At 38.9% G+C, this 21,675-nt stretch overlaps 1 protein-coding gene and 1 pseudogene across 1 annotated transcript, besides 4 other annotated features; both read right to left on the reverse strand.

Moving 5' to 3' along the window:
- On the reverse strand, positions 1-107 carry RNU6-80P (RNA, U6 small nuclear 80, pseudogene; annotated as a pseudogene).
- MZT1 (mitotic spindle organizing protein 1) lies at positions 2,351-21,613 on the reverse strand. The gene is made up of 3 exons (NM_001071775.3): positions 21,508-21,613; positions 12,936-13,081; positions 2,351-4,329 (listed from the first exon to the last, which is right to left on the reverse strand). The coding sequence occupies exons 1-3, from the start codon at positions 21,584-21,586 to the stop codon at positions 4,306-4,308; spliced, it is 249 nt and encodes an 82-aa protein (NP_001065243.1). The 5' UTR covers positions 21,587-21,613; the 3' UTR covers positions 2,351-4,305.
- Positions 21,059-21,118: a silencer, noted in NCBI's record as "silent region_5394". NCBI's record gives its function as "represses an Ori minimal core promoter by ATAC-STARR-seq in GM12878 lymphoblastoid cells {active_cell/tissue: GM12878}" and the evidence as "EXISTENCE:reporter gene assay evidence [ECO:0000049][PMID:35858748]".
- Positions 21,059-21,255: a biological region, named in NCBI's record as "ReSE screen-validated silencer GRCh37_chr13:73301228-73301409".
- Positions 21,074-21,255: a silencer, noted in NCBI's record as "fragment chr13:73301228-73301409 (GRCh37/hg19 assembly coordinates)". NCBI's record gives its function as "represses an EF-1alpha promoter that drives an FKBP-Casp9 reporter gene in an ReSE screen in HepG2 liver carcinoma cells {active_cell/tissue: HepG2}" and the evidence as "EXISTENCE:reporter gene assay evidence [ECO:0000049][PMID:32094911]".
- Positions 21,349-21,418: an enhancer, noted in NCBI's record as "active region_7813". NCBI's record gives its function as "activates an Ori minimal core promoter by ATAC-STARR-seq in GM12878 lymphoblastoid cells {active_cell/tissue: GM12878}" and the evidence as "EXISTENCE:reporter gene assay evidence [ECO:0000049][PMID:35858748]".
- Positions 21,614-21,675: the final 62 nt, after the last annotated feature.

The following is a 21,675-nucleotide window of genomic DNA, read 5'->3' on the forward strand; positions in this document are numbered from 1 at the left end:
AAAAATATGGAACACTTCACGAATTTGTGTGTCATCCTTGTGCAGGGGCCATGCTAATCTTTGCTGTATCGTTCCAATTTTAGTGTATGTGCTGCCAAAGTGAGTACCACATGCACCATCTTTTTTACAACATTTACAATACTCCAGTCTGGTATATATGAGCCCAACAGTGAACTTCATAAAAGAGAGATCTTTTTGTTGTTAGAACTGGGTTTCTCAAGTATAGCACCTCTGGAAAGGGAATGACTTTAACCTGTTATTTATTTACATTGTTGTAATTAAAAAGCAGTAATATAGATCTGCTGAGATGCTACAAAACTTCACCAACCTACCATCATCAATGGTATATTCCCTAAGAATGGGACAATCCTGGGAAAGAGAAGCATCTGTCACTAGTCTTCTATTAAATTCTCAGCATCTACATCCAGAGCTTCGACTACCACTTTGGCCATCTGATTTTCAATCTCCTTCATCTTCCTCTCCAGTTGTGCCTCTTCATCCCATGAGATGATGTATAGTAACAGGCACTAAGGTGTGTGGGCTCCAGACTCAATTTACCAGGGTTCAAATCCTGGCTCTACCACTTCTGAGATTTAAGTTGTATACCACTTTGTGCCTCAGCTTCCTGACCTATAATAGGATGATGCTATCTATCTCTCGTGGTTGCTGTAAGCCTAAAGGTTAAACAATTTGATCTATTAAAAGCACCAAAACCAGTGCCTTGCATGCAGCAAGTTCTCAATGTTAGTTATTTTCAACCACGTGGTACATGTTGTTTCCTGGATGCCCAGTCTATCCATTCATTCAGCCAACATGTATTTATTGAGCATTTCTTATGTGCTAGGCACTGTTCAAGACACTTAAGATACACCAGTGGCAACACAGAAATATCCCCGCCCCTGTGGGACTTTCAGGTAGAGGTATATTTGTTTATATTAATAGATAAAACTAAGTAAATTGTATACTATGTTAGAGAGTGGTAATGCTGTAGGACAAAAAAAAATGGAGATGGGCAATGGTCTTTGGAAGATTGGCAAGGTTTAAGATTTAATATATATGTTAAACACAATACTCTTTAAATAAAAATCATTTTTTTCCAGGAAAATTATATTCCCTTCTTGATTTCCATTTGCTGATAATATCTTTGTTACCCAGGCTTAGAAACTCAGTCACCTTATTTTCTTTTCTATTTTCCCCATAACCTGCCATTAAGTCCTATGTTTATTTTTTGTAATGTCTCTTGAATCTACCCAGATGTGAGCATTGAGGCCTGGGTTACTCAGTAGTGTTCTAACTAGTCTCTGCTTCTAACCTCTCCCTGCTCAAATCAAGCCTACATGTCACTAGCAAAGCAACTCCCAAAAAAAGCTTGACCATGTCCCCTTCTTTCTCTAATGCCTATGGAATTAAAGTTAAACTTAAAAAAAAATGTTTAAAAGCTGGCAATTCCACTGCTGGGTATACACTCCAAAGAACTGACAAGGACCTGAACAGTTATTTGTATACCAATGCCCATAACATTGTGGCTATTGTGAATAGCCTTTTCAGAATAGACAAAAGGTAGAAACAACCCAAATGTCCACCATATATATAAAAGAATACCTGTCTCCCATGTATATATGAGACATATTCATCCTTAAAGAGGAAATCTGGATACATGTTATAACATGGATAGATCTTGGAGACGTGCTGTGTAAAATAAGACGAACACAAAAGGACAAATATGATTCCACTTATATGAGGTATCCAGAATAGTCAAATTCATTGACAAAAAAGTAGGAAACTGTTTACCAGGGGCTGGGAGGAGGAAGCAATGGGGAGTTACTGCTAAACAGGTACAGAGTTTCAGTTTGGGATAAGAAAGTTCAAGAGATGGACAATAGTGATAGTTACAATACAATAAGAATATTCTGAATGTCACTGAACTATGAAACTTAAAAATGGTTAAAAAGGGCAGGGCATTGTAGCTCATGCCTATAATCCCAGCACTTTGGGAGGTTGAGGCAGGCAGATCATCTGAGGTCAGGAGTTTGAGACCAGCCTGGCCAACATGGTGAAGCCCCGCCTCTACTAAAAATACAAAAAATTAGCCAGGTATGGTGGCAGGTGCCTGTAATCCCAGCTACTCGGGAGGCTGAGGCAGGAGAATCATTTGAACCCAGGAGGCGGAGGCTGCATTGAGCCAAGATCATGCCAATGCACTCCAGCCTGGGTGACAGAGTGAGACTCCATCTCAAAAAAAAAAAAAAAAAAAGGTTAAAATGGTAAATTTTATGTTCTGTATCTTTTGTCCTATAGAAACACAAGTTGAATTAACAAAAGCATATATTAAAACAAAAGTACAGGCCAATACCACCAAAATGGTTTTATTTTTGTCATTGACAACAAGCACAACACTGCAATTGTATCATTATTTTGTTTAGTTTCTTAAATATTACTTAAGTATGCATTAAAAATATGTTTACATTTTAAAAATGTGACACTTTAAAGAAGTCCTCTGTAAACACGATCCCTTCTCAATATATTTTCCTGCTTTGTTTCATACATAAATAACTTAATCTACAAAGTCATAAATAATACTATCAACTCTTATGGCCTGGAAGTATATACAAATTTTGGAGTCTGACAAAAGTGTTCTTTATGATTTTATAAATAACACATAGTATTTGTAGTGTTGATTATAAATCAAATGACTTTTTACAAATTCCTACTGTCTCCTCAACCTGTTCTACCAGTAACAGATCTTCCAGTTTACTTGGTTGGTAAAGATGCCAGGCATTTAAAAAGTCAAAATGGTCAAAATTCTATATTAAAAAAAAAAAAAGGCAGAGAAGGTTGCTATTTAAATATTACCAAATCTTAATAAAACCACTTCAGCTTGTCTGAAAAACAAAAAATGCTAGTAAAGAGTGAATGCTTGTACAATCATATAAATGGTACTCAATAAAATCTAAAATTTAAGAAATAATAAAATCAGATGAAATCCATATTAGTTTTGCAAAAAAACTCCACTGAGATTCTATTACAGGAACAGAATCAATACTATTCTACATTTTCTAAAATTTATTTCTAATCTTCACTTTGATGAGTTAAAATTTTAAAGGCAAGAATAATGACAAACAAAACAATTCTGAAAAGCCATACTTATAATCCTTGACATCAAGATGTTAAAAAGGTTTTTTAAAAAAAGCCATACTTGAGATTCCTAATATAGAACATTTGATTGTTTAGTTTTGTTTAATGACTGGAAATCCTTATTTCTTCAAAAAATAGCAAGTATCCTTTGAAACACATCACCCATCTAATAAGATTGTTTAGTTTTGTTTAATGACTGGAAATCCTTATTTCTTCAAAAAATAGCAAGTATCTTTTGAAACACATCACCCATCTAATAATTTATTAAATAACCATTCAAGATTTATTAGGTAAGCACTAAAATTACTTTTATGTAATAAAAGTAAATAGGAATTTTGCATGTTTGTTGTTTCATTTTACAAATTTTTTTATTCCGTTATTTATAGGATATAAAACTTTAAGAAAACATTCTCAACTAACATTCTCATTAGATGTAAATGATTCAAATTACAAATAATACTAACCTAAGCATTGTCATTACTTTTAAAATCCAAGTTTCTCAAAGTTTGATTTTTTTACTCAATACAAAAATGACCTGGTTCACACTATTAGCTGCCCAACAAACTGTTTGAAAAACTAAATATTCTTTGTTCAAGAGTAGATTACAAGAAATGTTTTCCATGCTCTTATTTCAAAAAACAAGATTCTGATATACATAATGAATCTAAATAAAAATTCACAAGTGGTGGCTGAAATCCTGTCAACTTTCAGCCCAATACAATATAAATCCACAGTTATAATGCATAAACAATTCAAAATTAAAGTTTATAATGGAAATGTCAACAAGTCATAACTACTACACATTACTACTGATGGGTTCCACTATACTTCAACCTGGCACAGCAGATGTGCACATCTGATAGACAGACTGCTTAGAAAATTAAAGCTATCAGAGCTATAAATAAGGAATACATAAATATGAACATAGCAATGCCAAAGCATTAGAGCTGTTAAAAAAAGTGAATAAGATGTGATGTAAACACATCTGATAGTTCTCTCTGTAAGCCACTTTCCACTGATTTATAAAGCTATGGTTTTATAATTCTTTTAAAAAGTAAAATTTTTCTACACTGCTGCATGCAGTAATTTCATTGTACATTCTCAACTACAATGCAATCTTCAAACCCTCTTGCAGAGCTTGACATATCTCATCAGAATTTCTCCAGAAAGTCAGCTTGTCATATTTTCAGCAGCCTAGAACAAGAAAGTAAGATTCATTACAATAAAACCATGGAAAAAGAGGCATCATGAAGATAAATTTGTCAATACTGCACTGTCATTAACAAACAACTATTCCCCATAAAACAGAACCACTTTTATCACAGTAATGCAGTGCTTTTCATGTTTTGCTATACATCAGGACTACCTTTTGAATGTACAGTTAACAGTCCACAGGCTAACAGTGGAAAATAGTTATATCACCTAAAATAATAGTTAAGAGCACAAAAAACATACTGCTACTTGAAACATTAACCTATGGCAGACCTGTTGCCACAGACTTCATTAGTTTGTCTGTTTCTGTGTTTTATTCTAGTAATAGGGATTAAAAATGAAAAAGACCTTTCATGCTACAAGGCAGAGAGAACAAGAGCAAAAGATGAATAATGAACATCTTATCTAATCCTGTCTCATCTACATCCCTAACTACTACTCTTTCCCAGGTGATTCTGAAGAAATTCCAAGATACCATATCATCAATAAATACTTTGATACATTATTTCTAGAGACTTAAACAAATCACCATACTATTATCCTACCTAAAAAATTTCTTAACATCAATATAAAAAGATATAATTTTAAATAAGTTTAATTTTAGAAATATGTGTTAGTATTTTAATTCATTTACCTTTCTAACTCCTTTTTATAAGACCTACCTACACAGGGACACATCGCAGATTTACACTAAAGTATTAGTAACAGTACAGGACATCTGTAAGAGAAAGGGCAAGCCTTAGTCCACAGGACTCCACCATAATGGTATAACTTAAGACACTGGGGTACTAAAATAGAAGATACAGGAAAGTAGGTTTTGCTCAGAACTTCTCAAATTACAATATGTAGATGACTGCTTACACATAAATCCTAGAACTAAGGAGATAATATAAAAATTCAATGTCAATAAAGAATCACTAATCAAATGCACTTAATTAACAATCCTATTTATGCTGTGGGAGATATGTATAAAGTGGCCTATTTATGGCTGTTGAGTAACTTATGTAATTAGGGAGATACATAGCTAGCTACTTTTACTATAAATGACTTAGACCACATCAATATACAAATCTGTGAAAGTAAAAAGCAAAAAAATTCACAAAAAATAGTTACTGTTTTCTAAATAGTCAACCAAAGAGCAAAAGAAAAAAGGAATGTCTCAGACCAACAGTTTTTTGCAACATTTCAAGATACCCTTGATTTGTTATCCTACATATTCCAAAAAAAGAGACAATAAATACCATACAGTTAAATTCTAAATACCAGGAATTCTAGATAAAGATAGAACACAGCAGGAACAATTTCTCTTTACCTTAATTTTAAAACTGAAAGAAATTAACAAAAAAAAAAAATGAGAAAAAAATTCATGAGCAGCAACCACACAAGGCAGGGAGAAGAACCTTATGCTTGTAAAGCCAATAAAAGGGTGGTCAAGGAAAGGCAGGTGTGGCTCAGTGTATCTCTAAACCCACCAGCTCCCCAACTCTGTCCCAAATGGCAATAAGAGAGAACAAGACTTTAATCCAGGGAGAAGCAAACCGATGAGTTATTCTTTTTCAATTCACTGAAATCAAGTATAACACTTTTATTTTTAAAATAGCATGATACTATCTGGAATGATGTTCACCAAACATTATTGCAGGCAATCTCTTTGGTAATCTTGAGTGATTTTTTTTTAAATTTTTTGTATTTTCTGAATTAAATATCTTAAAAGTATAAGGATGCATTACTTTCATAAAAATTATAGAGATTATGTCAATTACTTCAAAAAAACAAGTTGTAATAAATACTTGTTTGCTAGAAACTCCCTAGTTGTTGCTGTTGTTGTTTTCACTCTGTTGCCCAGGCTGGAGTGCAGTGGCACAATCACAGCTTACTGCAGCCTCAAATGCCTGAGCTCAGGCCATCCTCCTGAATAACCAGAACTACAGGTGTGTACCACCATACCCAGCTAACTAAAATAAATATTTTGTAGAGATGGGGTCTCACTATGTTGCCCAAGGCAGTCTTAAACTCCTGGCCTGAAGTGATCCTTCTGCTTTGGCCTCCCAAAGTGCTGGTATTACAGGCGTGAGCCAGCACGCCTAGCTGAAACACCCTAGTTTTAATGTGATGCTAGTATACTGTTTCTAGATCATAGGAGAAATGCATTTTAAGAGGCTTTGTGTATGTGAGAGACAGATTTTCCATTCAAATAGTCAACACTTTCTGATTCAGTGTATCTTAATTACTGATTTTACCTCCCACATCTCACTATGGCCCACTGGATGCAGAATAACTAGTATGCTAAAAGCTGAAAAAGCTATGTTAAATTGGCATTTCTGAACTGCCTATCCTAATATCGTAGCTTATATTTTGCCTAAGAAAATGCTATGCCAAAGCACTTGTCAGTCACCTGCCTCAGCTAGGTTTATTTGACTCTGGTTCTCTTATATGCACTCAAACTGTAGTACAAAACAAAAATATCTTCCTATTATGTTAATTCCCTTTCAAATTCAAGCACAGTAAAACAAAAACTCTTGCAGTTGTGGCAGATGTGTACTAAATAAATCTTTCCCTCAAAAATTTCAGAAATACACTGATAAAATACTATAATACTCATTTTTATTTTTATTAAAAGTTATTAGATAATATTAAGTCAGGGAATGTGCCCATGCTAAAGCCCAAGGACTCTTGTTTCTAATAACGACTTCATCTTTTCCTAAACTGCTGGCTCAGGAATTCTTGAGATTTTACTGGAGGAGAAAACTTAGTAGTTAAGTAAACAACTCTGAAGTCAGAGAGCCCAAGTTCAAATCTCAGGTCAATCACTAACTGTAAAGTTCTTAAGGTAAGTAAATTAGTCACCATAAGCTTCAGTTTCCTTAGCAGTAAACTACTAATAGTAGCATAGGATAAGTATCCCTTGTCGGAAATGCTTGGGACCAGAACTGTTTCTGATTTCAGATGTCCTAAAATTTTGGAAAATTTGCATTGAAGTTGTCCCTTGGTATCCATGGTGAATTGTTAGTTCCAGGACTCCCCATCTTCCCCACCTCACAGATACGAAGGTCCACAGATGCTCAAATGCCTTATATAAAAGGGTATAGTATTTGCATATAACCTACATGTATCCTCCCACATACTTTACATCATCTCTGGATTCGTTGTGATACCTAACACGATGTAAACGCTATGTAAATAGTTGTTATCCTGTATTGTTTAGGGAATCATGAGAAGAAAAAAAGTCTGTACATTCTTAGTACAGACATAACCATCCTTCCCCCTGTTCCCCAAATATTTTTGATCCACAGCTGGTTGAATCCATGGATGCAGAACCCACAAATACAGAGGACTGACTGTACTTGCTGACTGAGCATCCCTAATTAGAAAATCTGAAATGTTCCAGTGAGGATTTCCTTTGAGTGTCATGTTGGTACTCAAAGTATTTCAGATTTTGGAGCATGTTGGATTTTCAGATTTGGAATGCTCAAACTGTAGTAGTTATCACTGTTATAATGATAGAGGAAATAATGCCAGTAAAGCCTGTAGAACATACGGTCTGGCATGAGAAAAGTATTCATATAAATATTAGCTATTCTTGTTATTCAGTTATTTTTCTTTCTGCCATATGAAAGCCAAAGGTTTGAGGTAAAAAAGAAACTTCCCTATCTAAATAGGAGACAAGTGCTGATAGCCAAGATAATGGGTAAAAGGCCTAGACAGCATTTCAGAGATCTAAGACACGGCCCTTCCCATGACAGTCTCCGAGGCCCAGGATCAGGACCTGGAGCAAAGGTCATGCATGTTATGCTTTAGCAAAAAATTTGGCTGCATTGTGCCCATGTCCTAGGGATCTGTGGAAGTTTGGACTTGAGAGTGATTTAGGGTATCTGGTGGAAGAAATTTCTAAGCAGCCAAGTGTTCAACATGTTGCATGGCTCCTTCTAACAGCATATGCTCAGATGCATGAGCAAAGAAATAACCTAAGGCTGGAACTTATACTTAAAGGGGAGGCAGAGCATAAAAGTTTAGAAAATGTGCAACCTGTCCATGTGGTAGAAAAGAAAAGCCCATTTTCAGGAGAATTCAAGGGGGCTGCAAAGCAACCACTTGCTAGAGAAATTTCTGAATCTAAATAGAAGGCAAGTGCTGATAGCCAAGATAATGGGTAAAAGGCCTAGACAACATTTCAGAGATCTAAGAGGCAGCCCTTCCCATTACAGGCCCTGAGAACTAGGATAGAATGGTTTTATGGGCCAGGCTCAGGGCCCCGCAGCCCTCCACAGCCTTGGGACATTGCTTCTTGCATCCCAGCCACTCTGGCTCCAGCCATGACTCAAAGTGGCCCAGGTATAGCTTGGGACACGGCTTCAGAGGATCCAAGACATAAGCCTTGGTGACTTTCATGTGGTGTCAAGCCTGTGGGTGCACAGAGTACAATGGCTGAGGCTTGGCAGCCTCCATCTAGATTTCAGAGGATATATGGAAAAGCCTGGGTATCTAGGCAGAAGCCTGCTTCAGGGGTGGAGCCCTCATGGAGAATCTCTACTAGAGTAGTGCAGAGGGGAAATATGGGGTTGGAGCCCCTACACAATGTCCTCACTGGGGAACTGCCGAATGGAGCTGTGAGAAGAGGGCCACCGTTCTCCAACCCCAGAATGGTAGATCCACTGACAGCTTGTACCCTGAGCCTTGAAAAGCTGCAGACACTCAACAATGCCAGCCCACGAAAGCAGCCATGGGGGCTTAACCCTGTAAAGCCACAGGGGCAGAGTTGCTCAAGGCCTTGGGAGCATACCCCTCCCACCAGTGTGTCCTGCATGTGGGACACAGAGTCAAAGGAGATTTTTTTGGAGCTTTAAGATTTAATGACTACCCTGCTGGGTTTGGAACTTGTATGGGGCCTGTAGCCTCTTTCATTTGGCTGATTTACCCATTTTGGGATGGGAATGTTTACCCAATGTCTATAATCCCATTGTGTCTTGGAAGTAAATAACTTGTTTTAGATTTTACAGGCTCATAGGTGGAAGGGACTTGCCTTGTCTCAGAACTTTGGACTTTTGAGTTATTGCTGGAATGAGTTAAGACTTTTGGGGACTGTTGGGAAGGCATGATTGTATGTTGCAATGTGAGAAGAACACATGAGATCTGGGAAGGGCCAGCGAGGGAATGATAGTTTGGATGTGCATCCCCACCCAAATTTCACCTTGAAATGTAATTTCCAATGTTGTAATCTCCATTGTAATCTCCAATGTTGGAGGTGGGGCCTGGTGGGAGTTGACTGAATTCATCCCTCATGAATGGTTTAGCACCATCCTCTTGGTGCTGTACTCGCTAAAGTGAGTGAATTCTTAAGAGTTATGGTTACATAAAACTGTGGCACCTCACTCTCTCCCTCTCTTGCTCCTGTTTTTGCCATGTGACATGCCTTCTCCCCCTTTGTTTCCATAATGATTGTAACCTTCCTAAGGCCTCTCCAGAAGCAGATGCCACTATGCTTTCTATACAGCCTGCAGAACTATGAGCCAATTAAACCTCTTTTCTTTACAAATTATCTGGTCTCCGGTTTTTTTGTTTTTGTTTTTTTTTAAGAGGAAGTCTTCCTCTGTTGCCCAGGCTAGAGTACAGTGGTGTGAATCTTGGCTCACTGCCACCTCCGCCTCTTGGGTTCAAGTGATTCTCTTGCCTCAGCCTCCCGAGCAGCTGGGATTACAGTGCCTGCCATAATGCCTGGCTAATTTTTTTATTTTTAGTAGAGATGGGTTTCACTATGTTGGCCAGGCTGGTCTTGAACTCCTGACTTCAAGTGCTCTGCCCACCTCAGCCTCCCAAAGTACTGGGATTACTGGCTTAAGCTATCATGCCCGGCAGGTATTTCTTTATATCAATTCAAGAATGGACTAATACAGAGTCTACCATAAAAGTGAGGATAGTAGTTACTGGAGAGGAGAGCAAGAGAGAGGGGTTAGTGACTGGGGAGAGGGCAGAAGGGGGATTATCTGGTGCTGGCAGTGATGGTTGCATGGATATTCTCTTTATGATACATTTTAGCTCTACAAATGTGGTTTACCCTTTTTAGTTAGATTTAATAATCAAGAGATTTTAAAAAGCACAAAAACAAACCTAAAGAATAAGAACTCATTGGAAAATAATCTGAAAGATATGTAAATTGCATGTTTTAAATAGTTGATTTCTTAAAGGTAAGAAAAAAGAGAAGTCACTTTGTATCAGGTATCAGAAGGTTTTATTTGTTTGTTTGTTTTTCCCCCCATTGACCGTCTCTATGAGCCCATGTTTTGGACAAGTTTTAAGATGAACTAACTTAAAGTTTCAGTATTCAAAGTGAGTTAGTGCTATATAAAAAGGGAAATAAAATCACAAGCTTTTAAATCAGAAAGTCTGTGGAAGACAGAATAGGACATGTTTTTAGTTGCCAATCTGAGCAATTAAAACGTGGTTAATTTGAATTGGAAAAAAGGTGGCCCTCTGGGAACCTGGTGGCAGCAGCAGTCCCATGGTCTCTGAGGCGCTCTTGGAGTCACTTTTTCCTTTTCTTGAAGGATAACACATGGGCCCTCAGCTGAGCAGCTCTATCAGCCAGTTTCCTGTCTAAACAATCCCACTAATCTGATAGCCTTCTTTCACTTCATCCTGTCCAAGCTGGCAGTGTTTGTGTTGAGATGGTTGACTGGCTCTATCACATACCTAATGTCTTCACAAAAGTGTAGCCACACTCTTAGCCCTGTCTCCAGAACATGTTATTCAGACAGGCTGAGAATTTTCTAAATTCTCAGATGCTAGTTCCTTTTCTCTTAGCAGGTCCTTACTCGATTGCTCATTTGTGTCACATTATTAAGCAGCAAAAAGAAATCAGGCTACACCTTCCACAATTTGCTTGGAAATTTCCTCAATGAAATATCCAAGTTCATTGCTTACATATTCTATTTTCCTTCCAACAATAGAACACAATTCAGCCACAATCTGTCACTTTCTTTTTTTTTTTTTTTTTTTTAGATGGAGTTTCGCTCCTGTTGCCCAGGCTGGAGTGCAATATCGCAATCTTGGCTCACTGCAACCTCTGCCTCCTGGGTTCAAGCAATTCTCCTGCCTCAGCCACCCAAGTAGCTGGGATTACAGGCATGTGCCACCACGCCTGGCTAATTTTGTATTTTTAGTAGAGATGGAGTTTCATTATGTTGGTCAGGCTGGTTTTGAACTCCTGACATCAGGTGATCCACCCACCTTGGTGTCCCATAGTGTTGGGATTACAGGCATTAAGCCACTGTGCCTGGCCCATTCTGTCACTTTCTAACAAAGACCACCTTTCTTTTAGTGTCCAATAAATGTTCCCCATTTCCATCTGGGTCTTCACTAAAAGTGCTTTTAACATTTACATTTCTAGCAACATTCTGATCCTAATGTTAGTCTCGAAAAAACTCTGAAGCTTTCTCTACAGTTCTTTTCTCTTCTTTCTGAGCCCTCACCAGAATTGCCTCAACATTCACAGTTCTACTAACAGTTCCTCTTCAAGGAAATCTAGTCTTTTTCTATCAAGCACCTTAAAACTTTCCAGTCTCTATCCAATACCCAATTCCAAAGCCACATCCTCACTTTTAAGTATTTGTTACAGCAACACCCCACTTCCCAGTACCAAAATCTGTATCAGATTTCTGGGACTGCCATAATAAAGTAACCACATATTAGGTGGGTTAAAACAACAAAAATCTATTTACAGTTTGAAGGCCAGAAATCCATACCTACTATACATATTTAACCAAGGCGTTAGCTGGGTCATGCTCTCTGACAGCTCTAGGGGAATATCCTTCCTTGCCTCTTTCTAGCTTCTTATGGCCACAGAAAATCCTTAACTTTCCTTGGCTATTTGTGTCCAAATTTCTCTTCTAAGGCCACCAATTATTGGGTTAGGATCTACCCTAATCCAGGATGACCTCATCTTAATTTGATTATATCTGCAAAGGCATTATTTCTAAATAAGGTCATATTCATTGGGACCAGGGGTTAGGACCTCAACATGCCTCTTCTGGAGCAGGCACAATTTTACTCACCAAATAGCACAATTCTAAAAACAGACTTCTGGGAAAACATAACATGGTCCATGGTAGTAGTAATTTTTCTTTTTTTTTTTTTTAGACGGAGTCTCACTCTGTCACCCAGTCTGGAGTGCAGTGTCGCCAACTTGGCTCACTGCAAGCTCCGCGCCTCCTGGGTTCACGCCATTCTCCTGCCTCAGCCTCCCAAGTAGCTGGGACTACAGGTGCCCACCACCACGCCTGGCTAATTTTTTTGTATTTTTAGTAGAGAATGGGGCTTTACTGTGTTAGCCAGGATGGTTTCGATCTCCTGACCTCATGATCCGCCCAACTCAGCCTCCCAAAGTGCTGGGATTACAGGTGTGAGCCACTGCGCCCGGCCTAGTAGTAGTAATTTTTATGATATGAACATACACTATTGAGCTCCTGGTCTTCTAGTGGTGTTGCATGTTAGTTTAACCTTGTTTAACCAGGATGTTTCCCATAACTTCATCATTAATCATTTTTCTAAATAAAAGCATCTTTATTTAGAATGAACTAATAGGAATCTCCAACCTTCAGTGCTTCAGTAGCCTTGCGAAGCTCCTTAATAACCGATGATAAAGCTTCTGGGTTAATTCCTTGTTCACAAAGCCGTACACAAATAGACAGAGTTTCCATATCTAAGCCAGTATTCAAAATTCTTGAAATCTCAAGCAGAACTGAAAAAAGATACAAAAAAAAAAAAAACTTAAGGCTTACAGCATTTAAAAATATGCATATAGTACTTTCATTAATTTATATATCACTGCACAATACCAAGGAATTAGCATAGCATCCCAGGTTTTGGAAATCTGCATGTAATACTTTCTTGCCTTTACTTAGTTTTAGAAACTTAAATATAAATATAAACTTACACCTTCCCTTCACATAACTGCCTTTTACATCTTGCTATATATTCTAGCACTTGTTTAATATCTAACATGTATCCACCATACTTAGGATAATTCTGAACACTTGCTTATTTTTTAGTATTCTTTTAAAATGCAGTTTAACTAGTCGCATATTATTCCATTTTATGGAAACACTATACTTAACTACTCTGTTACTTTAAAAGTTAGGCTGCTCTCATGTTTCTCTCATTAAAATAATATTGGTAAGAATCTGTACATACTAAATTTTATTTCATTAGGATAAATTTCTAGAAGTAGAACTGCTCAGTCAGTAATATACATATTTAATTTGCTGAATTGACATACAATAGTCAAAAAAAGGTAATGTACATATTTAAGGCTTTAAAAGTGTTTAGAAACTTTTATAACAATTTGACAGCGTAATCATGTCTGTTGAATCTAATAATAAAAATGAAACCTTATATTTTTTAAACTTCATTTGTATAGTACTGCATTTTATTGTAGTTGATAGAACTCATTGTCTTTAACATGAGAAGCACAAACAGAGAAACTTGGTTTCCAAAGTGATTTTCAGAATCCCTTCCATTACAGGTTGTAAGTACACCGGTTCCACTGAATTTTGTTTTAAGATTGCTTCCCAGAGAGTATTTAGAATATTTTAAGTCAACTGTCAACATATTATCTATTGTTTCCTATATCATTTCCCCTTGGCATTATGCTTAGAAAATTATTCCCCATGAAAAGATTATATCCACCAGTATTCTCTTCCAGCACTTTGAAGTTTATTTCCCAAAACCCCCCATAAGTATTTATCTCCCTAGAGTTTGGGTGGAAAATAGGATCTAACTTTTCCTCCCAGAAATGAGCCAGTTGCCCCAGTAAAATTTATTGAATGACCTAAGTTTTCCCCACCCAGTTGAGATGCCACCTTTATTCATAGTAAATTCCCATATACTTACAAATTTGTTACATGTCTATCTTTTGTAAGGGCAACCATTTAATTTCTAACTTTATATTGCATGTAGTAGGGTAAACATTCCGTTGTCATCTTTCATTTATATAAGCCATTTTATTCTTCGGATGAACTGAACATTTTTCATCAATTCTAAAAACAAATTCCAACTGGATTCTGATTAACTGTATAAAAACTACATTATTATTTTGGGAAGAATGGACAAGTTATCAATATTTAGTCACCCATTAATTTAAGTCTAAGTCTTTCTGAAAATTCTTATAGTATTTATCATGTTCATGAGATAGGTCCCTCCCATTTCTTCCATATCAGATATTCACTTTCATCCCTAGAAGTTCAATTTGAGCCGGGCGCAGTGGCTCACGCCTGTAATCCCAACACTTTGGGAGAGCAAGGTGGACAGATCACCTGAGGTCGGGAGTTCGAGACCAGCCTGACCAACATGGAGAAACCCCGTCTCTACTAAAAATACAAAATTAGCCAGGCAAGGTGGCGCATGCCTGTAATCCCAGCTACTTGGAAGACTGAGGCAGGAGAATCGCTTGAACCCGGGAAGTAAAGGTTGCGGTGAGCCGAGATTGCGCCATTGCACTCCAGCCTGGGCAACAAGAGCAAAACTCTGTCTCAAAAGAAAAAACAAACAAACAAAAATAGCAGTTCAATTTGAGTCTTAAAAAAAAAAATGTCTTTCATGCCTCTACTAAACTTTTTGGAGATATGGAGTATAGTTCTGATGCCCTTGTCTGCTAATTCTAACATCTGTGTGATCGGGGGGGTGTTCGTTACAATTGACTGAATTTTTCACATCATGGGTCATACTGTTCTGCCTTGCATATCTGGTAATCTTTGATTGGATGCCATGTACTTAGAATTTTACTTAGGTACCGGATAGTTTTGTATTTCTAATTCTTGAGCTTTATAATGAGATACCGTTATCTGGAAATGGTTTGATCCTTTCGGATATTACTTCTTAGATCTGTTAGGCAGGACCAGAGCCCTGTTTAGGATAGGGCTAATTATTCCCCTTATGATTGAGGTAAGAATTCTGAGTACTGTATCCAATGTCTTATGAATTACAAAGATTTCCATTCTGGCTGGTAGTTACAGGCACTATCCTCAGCCCTGTGTAAGCACGGTGCACGGTTCACTCTAATCCTTCTAGATGGTTCCCTCCCAGCTTTCTGAGTACTTTCCTCACACATCTGCTAATCAATGCTCTGAATACTTAAGGGGGACACTTCTACAGATCTCCAGCATTCTTTCTGTGCAGTTCTCCCCTCTCAGGTACTGTTATTCAAACTCTACCTGCCTTGGTCTCCCAGGTCTTCTAAACTCCTCCTACTCACTTCAGTGTGTCCACTGGGTTCTCCCTGCTATACTGAGGCCTGGAACTCTCTGAAGGCAGTGAGCTGGGGCAACCCAAGAAATCACTTTGCTTGTTTCCTGTCTCTAAGGGATCACTGTACTCTGATGCCTGATGTCCAGTGTCTTGAAAACCATTGTTCTGTATGCTTTACCTGAGTTTTCTTGGTTGTTTCAAGTAGAAGCATAAATCTAATCTCTGTTACTCCATCTTGGCTGGAAGATGACAGCTCTTCCCATTTTCATTTCTTCAGTTTTGATATTCCAATTTACTGATACTTTGCTCTTCAGCTGTATCCAGCCTGTTATTCATATTATCTGCTGAATTTATTTCAAATTTATTTCAGTAGCTTTCAAGATTTCTAATTTCTAATTTCTCACCATAAACACTTGTTTTATAACTAAATGCTTATTTATAGTGACAAATTTCACAGCTGTTGTTCCTGCCTTCGTCTATTTAAGGCTATATTCTTAAACTGTATTTGAGATTGCTCTATTATCTCTATTTCTTGGAGTATAAGCAAGCAGCAAAAGACAGTGGTTAGGAGTGTGATCTCTAGAGCCAGACTACCTGTGTTCAAATTCTAGCTGTAGTATTTAGTAGGCAAGTTACTCTCTCTGTGCCTTATTTCACCATTCTCGAAAGTGAGGATAATAAGAGTACCTGTTTTAAAGGATTAGTGTGAGAATTAAAGGATACACTTAGAATGGTATCCATTTGTTTTGCTGACACTGCCTTGCAGTCCTTTGGAATGGTGCTTGGCATACGGTAGGGCTCAATAAAAAAGAGTTCCCTGTTACTACCACTTTCCCTCTTTTTCCTTTTCCATGTTAGTTGCTCATGTTTTTCATCTACCTTAGGTGCTTTGTCATTCTTGGCTGAAAACTCATCTTCCATAGATTTATTTTAGGTGTCCTGGACTGGTGGCCCATTCTAAGATAGGAAGCCGTACCCTAGCTTTAGGCCTCTAGATCAGGCCTTGTAGTATTTTTGGTCCAGATCCAAAAAACACATGGATGGTGCTTCTCAATCTCTGGCTGTGACAAATGGCACATTTCTGACTCCCAACTTCAGTGAGGCAGGGTAGCATGCTTTGTCAGATTCTATTCCCGACAATCCCCTGCTGTGGTTCCCATCTGCTCCTTTCTTTTGGGGGGAAACCTCTCTCTTCCTAATCAATGGAGACTTCCCTTCTTGCTTTTGAACAGGTCTATCCTGATAATTATATTTTCTTACTATTTCCTATTTTTTTATATGCTTAGAGTTTCAGCAAGTGCTCAATCTACCATATTGAATCTTCACTTTATTTTTGACTGTCTTCACAAATGGATTCTACTTAGCCCTTGTACATTCTAAGTGGTTACCATCAGTATACTGGAACACTACATATTAAACTTTTTAATCACCAGTCACCTTGATGAATTCTATGATGCTTCTAACAGTTTTTCAGTTGATTCTCTCCCTTCTCTCTCCAGTTTCCAGTTTGTTCTCTTCATGGTAGACCCCCCCACGTATAAAGGCTATGCTTATTCCTGACTTCATGCCTTTGTTCTTGCTTTTCTCCTCTGCCTTTTATCCTCCCTTCATATAACTCAATGCTGTTTTCTTAGTCCATCTCATTTGTGGTTTCTTCTTTAAGCCTTCTTTTCAAATGGACACCTATTTTTACTTCCTATTTTCACAAATCGCCTGTAATCAAAAACTATTTCTTTAGTGCCTACCATATGATCAGTACAGGTTGAACACTCCTAATTCCAAAATCTGAAATGTGAAATGCCGCAAAATCCAAAACTTATTAAGTACTGACATAACACCGTAGTGGAAAATTCCACACCTCATATAATGGATCAAAGTCAAAATGCAGGTGCACAATACACAGTTCATTCAGCATCCCTGAGGGAAAAAACCAAAATTACCTTCAGGCTATGTGTATAAGGTATATATAAAACATACAAGAATTCTGTGTTTGGACTTGGGTCCCATCCCCAAGATATCTCATTATGTATGTGAAAATATTACAAAAAAAAAAATCTGAAATCCAAAACATGGTCCCAAGGTTTTTGGATGAGAGATAATCAACCTCTAACTATATGTATTTTGTGCCTATTATGCTACTGCTGCAAATACAGTTATGAACAAGGTATATATGGTCCCACTCCTCACAGATATTAGTCCAGGAGGAGAGATAGATATTAAAGTAATAACTGATTCCAGATATAAGTAAAATAAATAAAGAGTGGAATACTTCTGAAACAAATTACAAGGGCATCTTACCAAGTTTGGAAGGACACAGTGTTTAGCAAAGACTTGTCTGAAGAAGTGACAATTACACTTAGACATCAAAAGTGAGTAGAAATCAACCAGACTAATACAGAGGCAGGAGGAAGGGTGATGGTTGAGAGCAAAGAAAACAGCTTGTGTGATGGTCCCTACACTAGAGGGAACTTGGTAAATTCAGACCTGAACTGCTATTGTGAAGGCAATGTAATTAACGGGGTGAATGGGTATAAAATATGAGGTAAGTCCTAGTGAAGATCTTAGAACTGTGGAAAGCTACTGGATGATATAAAATAGGAACATAAAAAAATCAAACTTGCATTTTAAGGACTTTTTGGCTGAGTATCAAATGAATCTTTAAAAAGTCCAGTTATATCACAATTTTGATAAAAGACTGGTGGGTAGGATGAACAGGAGATATTTAGCCAACCTGAAATGAGTCAAGAATTGAAAGGGCTTAGTGAAGAACAGGAGGCAGAGGAGGTGAGAAAGCAAGACTGACTTCTAGATTTCTTTCTCAAATGTGCAACTGGATTGATGGTGGTAGCATGGACTGTTTCGCTGGTACTGCCTTGCAGTGCTAGTCAAATGGAATCTATATACCATAGATTCTCTTAACTCCTTTCTCTATAACGTGTTTTTTTTTTTTTTTTTGAGATGGAGTCTAGCTCTGTCACCCAGTCTGCAGTGCAGTGGCGCAATCTCAGCTCACGACAACCTTCGCCTCCCAGGTTCAAGCGATTCTCCTGCCTCAGCCTCCCAAGTAGCTGGGATTACAGGCACCCGTACTTACTACTAAATATATATATATATATACATATATATATATATATATATACACATATATATATGTAAAGTGGTGCTACAGGCCGGGCACAGTGGCTCACGCCTATAATCCCAGCACTTTGGGAGGCTGAGGCGGGTGGATCACCTGAGGTCAGGAGTTCCAGACCAGACTGGCCAACATGGTGAAACCCTGTCTCTACTAAAAATACAAAAATTAGCTGGGCGTGGTGGCGGGCGCCTATAATCCTAGTTACTCCAGAGGCCAAGGCAGGAGAATTGGTTCCCATCCCCAGCTTCAACCTGGGAGGCGGAGGTTGCAGTGAGCCAAGGTCGCGCCACTGCACTCCAGCCAGACTCGGTCTCAAAAAAAAAAAAAAAATAGTGCTATGATAAAGCCTCTCATAAGGAATAATTATCAAAATTAAAATTCAGATGCACAGGACGATTTTAGAGGAAAATAAAAATTAAGGTATAAAAAGCAATCAATAGAGAGTACCTAACATACCAAAAAGTTGAAAAGCAAAAGAGGCAACCATACACAGTGGGTTGCGAGGGGGGTGTTGTTGAAAAGGCACGACTATTTTAAGCGTGTAGAATTTTAGGGATATAAGGATGAAAGCAGAGATCTCATGCAGACCTTATTCTAAATTGGCAGAGATAGTTCTTTTCAGAGTGAGGTGCACAGATAATTTATTAATAGAAAGTTAGCCTGCTTCCTTCCATGTCTTTAACAAAATCCTTTCATTTCATGATCAAAATGCAAATGTAGCCAAGAGTTCTGCAATTCACATGACTTAAAGGGAGGTTCACAAATGCTACCATTGAGGGGAGAAATGGTATTCAAAAAGTTTTGAAAATTTTATTTTTGATCTCACGGGTTGATTTAAATACTGTGTAACACCACATCCCCTCTCCTTCATTTTTTGTTTTACTTCACTTTTTTGTGTTCTTACTCTCTTTATAATCTTCATTTCACACCAAGTTTTCTCAGAAGAGATCTTGATGATGCAGCCAACACAAACCATCAGTTCTCAATTGTACATCAGTGATTCCACCAGAGAAAATGTGAGTTTTCTGTTCAAATGGGATCCTGTGGCCATATACATAAGGAACCTAAGTACAGCTAACCTAAGAAAATAGGCTAGAAGTGAGGTCTTATACTCTACCTTTTTCCAAGGAAATATACAAGACAGTAAATTTATATTTATATACACACACATATATATATTCATACATAAATCCACTTACAAAATAAAACTATTAAGTGTTGATACATCGAAAAGGATAGAAAAATAAGCTGAATATTAAGAGTAACATTCTCAGAAAAACAGCAAGGTAGATACTGAACAAGTGAAAAATTAGATGCAAAGGCTCTAAAAGTGTAATTCTTTGAAAAGAAAACCAGGACCAGTGCAGAAAAAGCCAGCAGCCCCTCTGCAAGTGCTACATAAGAAAATGAGGCCGGGCATGGTGGCTCACGCCTGTAATCCTAGCATTTTGGGAGGCCGAGGCATGTGGATCACCTGAAGTCAGGAGTTCGAGACCAACCTGGCCAACATGGGGAAACTCCGTCTCTACTAAAAATACAAAAAATTAGCCGGGTGTTCTGGCGGGCACCTGTAATCCCAGCTACTCCAGAGGCTGAGGCAGGAGAATCGCCTGAACCCGGGAGGCGGAGGTTGCAGTGAGCCGAGGTTGCGCCATTGCACTCCACCCTGGGCAACTACAGCAAGACTGTGTCTCAAAAAAGAAAAAAAGAGCCTACGGTGAAGGAGAGAGAGATACAGCAGTGAGAATTTCATAGGGTTATCTTTTAACAGAGACGGAAGCTGACGTGAGTAGACCCTGGAAAACGTCTAGGCCCACTGCAAATAACAACATCGATCAAACACTCATAATACAGGTGGATGTGAGTAAAAAGGAGACAAAGAAAGAAGACTACAAGAGAGAGGCCATCTGAAATAATATAAAAATAATTGATCATCTTTGATATGTTTTTACATGGTTGTCTTATTTAAATATTCACAACTCCTGGAGGTAGGGTTTTATTTTACAGAAAAAAAAAAAAAAAAAACTAAACAGGCTCAATGATGTTTAAGTATCTAGTCCAAGCTCACCACAGGGGCATAAAGTGGCAGAACCGACATTAGAGGGTAGACAGAGGGTAACCGCAAGACACAAATTTCGTGTTCTGCAACACTTGTGTAGGCTTCACACACACGTGCCTCCGGGGCCGAAAACAGGCGACACCATAGCACTTGGGCACTGGTGTCACCCGCTTCAAGAGGAAACTAGGATAATTATGACCAAAGGGGAACTTGTTCATTCGCCGGATATTAAAGGTGCCTACTTAAGTGCGAAGAACAGGAGGCATAGCGGTGACCAAACACCTGGCCCCTGTCCCCGCCGGGATCCCAACCTTGGGGACCCCCGAAGCGCCCCGGGCGGGAATCGGGTGGGACGCGGCACGCAGGAGGGAACGGGTGTACTGGGTGGGGTGGGCGTGACGCTGTCACCGCAGGAGATCGGGCGGGTAGGGCGGACCTGGGATGCGGGATAGAGGGGGCGCGGCATTCGCGCGAGAGGGACGCGGTGCGCAACCGGCTGACTAGGGGCCGCAACGCCTAGCGCGCGCGACAAACTACGCAGCGGCGGAGACAACTCTCAAGGGATAGGGCCATCAGCCCTGCGGCCCTGGCAGGTCCCTACCAAAGATCTTGGAAGATGCCGTTTGGGGCACTAAGGGGACCTGAAGTCCTCCCCAGGCTCATTCCCGCCTGGGGGCCTTGGCTCTGGGAAGGCACGCAAGGTAAAGGGAGCGCAACGGAAACTCACCGTCCATGGTCTCCCGCACCGCATTCAGATTCGCCGCCGCGGCCGCCGCCGCCGCCCCAGCACCGCTGCTACTCGCCATGGCTAAGGCCGAGGGAGGCGGGAGAAGGGCCTGACCCGGAACTGGAGCGCCTTCCTCTCTCCGAGGCAATCACACAGCGCGTCTCGGCC

Source organism: Homo sapiens, chromosome 13 (assembly GCF_000001405.40).
Source record: "Homo sapiens chromosome 13, GRCh38.p14 Primary Assembly".
NCBI lineage: Eukaryota > Metazoa > Chordata > Mammalia > Primates > Hominidae > Homo > Homo sapiens.